Here is a 5653-nt window from a genome sequence, read left to right on the forward strand (position 1 = left end):
TAGCTTTTTATTTATTTTTTCTTATTTTCCAGTAAGGGTAAGTGGAGTTTTACTTAGAATGCCATATTCTTTTTTCCATTTTATTTTAATATTGTTTGAAAGACCACAGGCCTTTCTAGATGATTTTAAGATTTGTGTATTGAATTGATCTCTGCAGCACTTTCTAAATCTGAGAGAGAGTGGGAGTGGGGTTAGTGGTTGTCAAACAGCAGAAAAGGAGTCAGGTTTTAAATTAGAAAGGCTTTTGAGAAATAGCCCAGATCTATTACTTTTTGTTTGCAAAGTCAGAGGGGTTTGGAGGGAAGATGATCCAAAATCTTGAAAATAAAATAAAATCCTCTCAAAGCTAACATCTAATAGCCTACTAGAGATAACGGATGGGTAAGGAGAACTGCTGATAAACTTCAAGTCCAGGACTTATCAGTCAGCTTTCTTCTCCAGCTTTTCTACATTGATTTCCCCAGGGAAAGTTGAAGAGAGGACACTTAAGGCACTCAGCTTTATAATGCATACTTAAGAAGTCAGTGAATAATAACTACTAGAATTCTCTGGGTAAACCAGTTTGAATTAAAGATGCATTTCCTTTTGTTTCCTTGCTTTAAAGCAGGGGTTCTTGGTCTTTCGAGGTTACATCGAGAGCAGTGAGTCATATCCAAAATGAGGAAAGGAGCATAGAAATTTGTCAAATTTCTTGTTGATTCATAAGAAGGAGCATAAAGTATTATTCACAGTTCTATTTGCTAGAAAAAATTGATGAACTTTGCTATGTCCAAATAGAATAAATTCTATAATATATAAATTATTTCTGATTTTTAAATATTCAACCTAGTATTTTCCTGATAAAATGGTCAAGTATGTAAATAAAAACAGTATAGCTATCAAGTCAAAAGTTTTTGCCACTTGTTTGTATTTTGTCAGTCAATTAAAATCTTTAACATTCTTTGTTACAGAGGCTTAAGATGCTTGCAGGGTGGAGGGAAATTTTCCTTTGAGTGAACTGTTAGAATCTTTTGGATGATAGTCAAACACTTCTGTAATTTCCTTCACCATTTTTAGCTCCTTTTGGCATCATTTATTTCAAGTATGTCCCTGGAATGTCAAGAAGATGCCATTATTTTAAATGTTGTGTTTTAATATAATATCAAGCTAAATTTGTTCCTAGAGAACTCAGAAATAAAGGTAGAGTTCTTTTTTCTTATCTTTTAGCAAAATGGAAAACTTCAAAGATCAAATGGAGCCTTTGATCAATCTCCTACCTATGAAAGCAGATTAGAATTTTTATCCTCTGGCTACAGTCAATACAGATTTATGTGTTGTAGGAAAAAGAACTGAGTCAAAGGGAAACTAGAAGCTAGACCTCTCACTCAAATATTTGGTCCAAAGTCAGCTGCATTGTTCTGTCCTGATACTGGCTTTTGAGTGTTCTTCATTTAAACCTTTAGAAGAATGATTTGGGTAATACTTTGGAATAAACTTCCTATGGTTATTTCTGAAGTTGAATACATCTACAATTCGAAATTCTATAATTCCTGGCTACTGTAATTCCCTTAAACATACATGTGAAGTTCATTGTGCTGGCACCAGTAGGCACAGCGAAAGAAAGAGCCAGGAGGGACCTCATTAGATCATCTAATTCATACCAAAATCATTCAAAACTGAGTCAAAGGTTTCCAAAGGATTTGTTACAACTGCAATGGCAATATAATTAGGTCTGTAACAATAAAAGAGGCTTGCTTGCCTTTCTGATCAAGAATCATTACAATATCAAACAAAAGATGAATTCTTTCCTAAGAATCTTATGCTAATTCAGGTCTCTACAAGCACTCCAGGAACAAGATCCTTTTTAGTTACCAAGATCATGGTTAAGTGTGATTTTGGCCCAAAGGCTTAAAAAGCAAAGCACATATGATGTGTCCCACTGGTCTATGGGCTAGTTCTCTTTTCATTCCTATGCTCTAGATTTTTTTCTATCCTTGTTATATTGAGAAACAATAAGTATAAGTATTTTTAGCTGGCTTACCTGAATTAATCTCTTACAGGGCTGACATATTTAAACTAACAACAGCAAATATTTAACAGAGAAAACTCTCCCTGCTCTTAATTTCTAGCTCCTATCCCACTATTTTTAGCTTTGTGGCCTTGGGCAAGTCATTTAAATTCTCTGGATCTCAGTTTCTCCTTCTGTATAAAGTAAGAGAATGAATCTAGATGACTAAAAGAATCTCTTTTAGCTCTGACAGTCTATACCCCAGTCTATCATAAAGCTAAACTAAAACAATTCTGTGACCTTTATCAGGAAGAAAGGACAGTGGGAGGGAGACACGTTAGGAATGTTCTCTCATTTCTCCCACTCACACAACTGCTGCTGCAAAGGGCTCAAGTTGGTGACCCCAAATTTTACTAGTTATGTTAATTATTTGGGTAAATTTTCATGCAAAGCTTATGTATTTGAAGCTGAAGGGGAGAGAGATTCTAAGTTGTAATCTTTAATTTTTTCAAAATTTGAGGCCAATTTTAAGGCTTGAAACCTGTTGTTCTAGAATAGACCATTGAGTAACATATGTATTTGTTTCTCAGGAAATAACAGCTAACTGAAGTTATTATTCCTTCTTATTAATAAAATATAATTTTTCATCTTTTCTGCCCAAATTTGTGATAAATGTGCTTACTCCTATAAATGGCTTATATTTCTCTTTAGCACTCCTATGCTGAAACTCTCCAAAAATGTTCAAAATACTCACATTCTAGTAATAAAATATTGCTAAAGGTGTACTTTTAATGAGTTTATTCCATGCACACAAACAAATAGTTTTTTTCTTATAGTCTGACTCCTTATCGTAGCTATTAGTGGAGGAAGAGAAGGAGAAAATTTTATTGATGAATTTCCTATTGCTATTTTTGAAATTTCCTCAAATGACAGATATATCCAGAGAGAACTATGGCTATGAGAAAACTATTTGAGAGGTCTGCTAATTGTAAACTAAGCAATTTCAGTCAGACAGTGTAATTAACAGACTGGGTATAGGAAAAGGAGCTAGTTATGTTTCATTTCCTGAATTTTTATGTCTAAAAACAGAAATGTTTTATCCACTTCCCATTTTGTAAAGCTATTGCAAAAATTTCCTGCCATCACAAATGTTAGAGATAGTGTGTTTTACTAAAAAGTTGTATGTGGAAAGCCTACTAAATTTATGCCAAAGTGTCACTGTAGACATGGTTTAACATGAAAGATCAAGGAGTATATCTTGTGTTTTTGTTCTTAGAGAGAGGATCTTGGATCTTGCCATGTTGCCCAGGGTGGTCTGAAACTGAAAGCATATCTTTTCTATTAGATGATGTTATGAACCAGTCTTAGTGACAAGTTAAATAATCTTTCAAAGACAAAAACAATTCTTCATTTTAACTGCCACCTGCTTAGTATGTCAGGATGGTGAAAATATTTCAGTGACACCATTGACTATTGTTATTCATTGCAAATAATTGTACATGCCAGATAGTAGATGTAACAAGAGCCAGTGACCAATTACAATGCTAATGTATGTATTTTTCCGTCACTACTGAAAAAAGGAAATGAATTTAATTTTAACATTTCCACAGTCTATAAAACCTAATTCATGTAAAGTTAAAAATAGATCCATATTATAGAATCAAAATCATGTAAACAGTTTTATTCATTTTAATGGAAGAATATACAAATACAGAGGACACTCCAAACCAAGCACTGATGGCTTTTTACTTTAAAAACCTCTCATTTTCCAGTTTATTTTCAAGGAACATTCTATTAAATCTTACTTGAAAATCAAGAGTAGCCTACAGATTTAATTGATCTCAACAGGGGGAGAAAATGATCTAATTTTTCATTAGAGTTCCTGTGGTAACCACAGAGAGAGCCAGTAACTTGGTAAATACAGTTATGTCTCTATGGGCCTGTGAAAAGCAGAATGAAGAACATGACTGTATAAAAGGTTAACCCATGAGGATAATTTCCAAGTACATCATTTATTTTCACTGCCCTGCATCAAGGAGGCCTCATTGGAGAATAATTTAAACAATAAGAAAACAAACTTAAAAAAGATTAGATAAAATGTTTTCATATGTTTTTCTGAAAGAATCTATTTCACAGGCTCAGTACATATTCCAGATATAAAGGCACTAGCTTTTTACTGGAATTTAGATATTTTCACTAATTCAGAAGTCTTAACAAAATTCTACCTATTGCTGAAGCACTAAGAAGAGATTCATTAAGATTAACAATTTTCCAATATTATCTCTCCTCCAGACAATATTATTTTGTTGTGTTCCAACACTCAGCTCTTCCATCATTTAACTGGTACCTTTCATATATGATACAGATCATAGCTTTTTTTTTTTTTTTTTTGGGAGATGGAGTCTCGCTCTCTTACCAGGCTGGAGTGCAGTGGTGTGATCTCAGCTCACTGCAACCTCTGCCTCCAGGGTTCAAGAGATTCTCCTGCCTCAGCCTCCCAAGTAGCTGGGACTACAGGTGGCGCCACCACGCCCAGCTAATTTTTGTATTTTTAGTAGAGATGGGTTTCACCATGTTGGCCAGGATGGTCTCGATCTCTTGACCTCATGATCCACCCGCCTCGGCCTCCCAAAGTGCTGGGATTACAGGCATGAGCCACCACACCTGGGCAATCATAGCTCTTTTAATACTCTGAGCCATTAGGTATTTGTCCCAGATAATCTACATTCACAAATAGAGGAGTACTTTCATTTTTACACAGAAGTGAAGAAGGAAATTTATAAGTTAGAATTCTTAAGAAAGATAATTGAAAAGATTCTTAGATGTTTACCCACGTATTGGCTGTCTGGGTGGCTCTAATTATCCAACTTGCTCGGAGTTTTGTAGCCTTACAATAGTTGAATAAAAATGACCCCACTTTTGTCCCTACCCTGGGTCTCATAAATAGTGTGAAACACATCATTTTCTTTTTTCCCCTGCTGCATCCCCACCTCCCATTTCACTTCTTATTGCTATCCCCTTCTATCCATTCTGCATGGACCCAGATGTGAAACGCATGTGTTTTCATTTATTTCCATAAAACACATTCACACCAGGCAGTGGGGCTGAAGATTTGTTGTGTGTCTTGGAATACAAGGGCATTATATTCACAGCACAGCACAGCCCATAGCATTAACCTAAGTATCAAACATCCCTGTTCTTTAGCAGGACTGGCCACCAGCCAGCCCATTTTCTCAGGACCTGGCTCTGGATGTCTTGCTGGGCCATCTTCTTTACCTTCTGTTATCTTCCATTGCTTTCCCTAGTCTTGAAACACTTGACTCACCTATCTCTAGCTGAAGCAAAACATTCTTCTTACTTTATTATGCAAGCAATATAATTTCATTTATCAAATTGCTAGCTCATTTTAGACAACTTCCAAATGCAGAACCAAAGATGGCTCACCAAGGTGTTTTTGCTAAACTGGGAAATTTTTTCCATGAGAAATTCTTTCACCTGCTTTTATCCTATCTGGCCCCTCCCATCTATCACCACACCCACACAGATCCCTACACAAGGTTTTGTAGCACATTCTACCTGTTGAAGGCGATTCAGCCAGCAAAAATTTAGGCTTTGAAGGACACTTGGAAGAGACCTGGGATTCATTTCCATTTCTCCCCATTCCTT

General features: G+C 35.5%; 1 annotated feature.

Annotated features, from left to right (window-relative positions):
* Positions 400-600: a silencer, noted in NCBI's record as "peak3961 fragment used in MPRA reporter construct". NCBI's record gives its function as "represses an SCP1 promoter by STARR-seq MPRAs in K562 erythroleukemia cells {active_cell/tissue: K562}" and the evidence as "EXISTENCE:reporter gene assay evidence [ECO:0000049][PMID:32103011]".

This window comes from Homo sapiens, chromosome 2 (genome assembly GCF_000001405.40).
Source record: "Homo sapiens chromosome 2, GRCh38.p14 Primary Assembly".
Classification (NCBI taxonomy): Eukaryota; Metazoa; Chordata; class Mammalia; order Primates; family Hominidae; genus Homo; species Homo sapiens.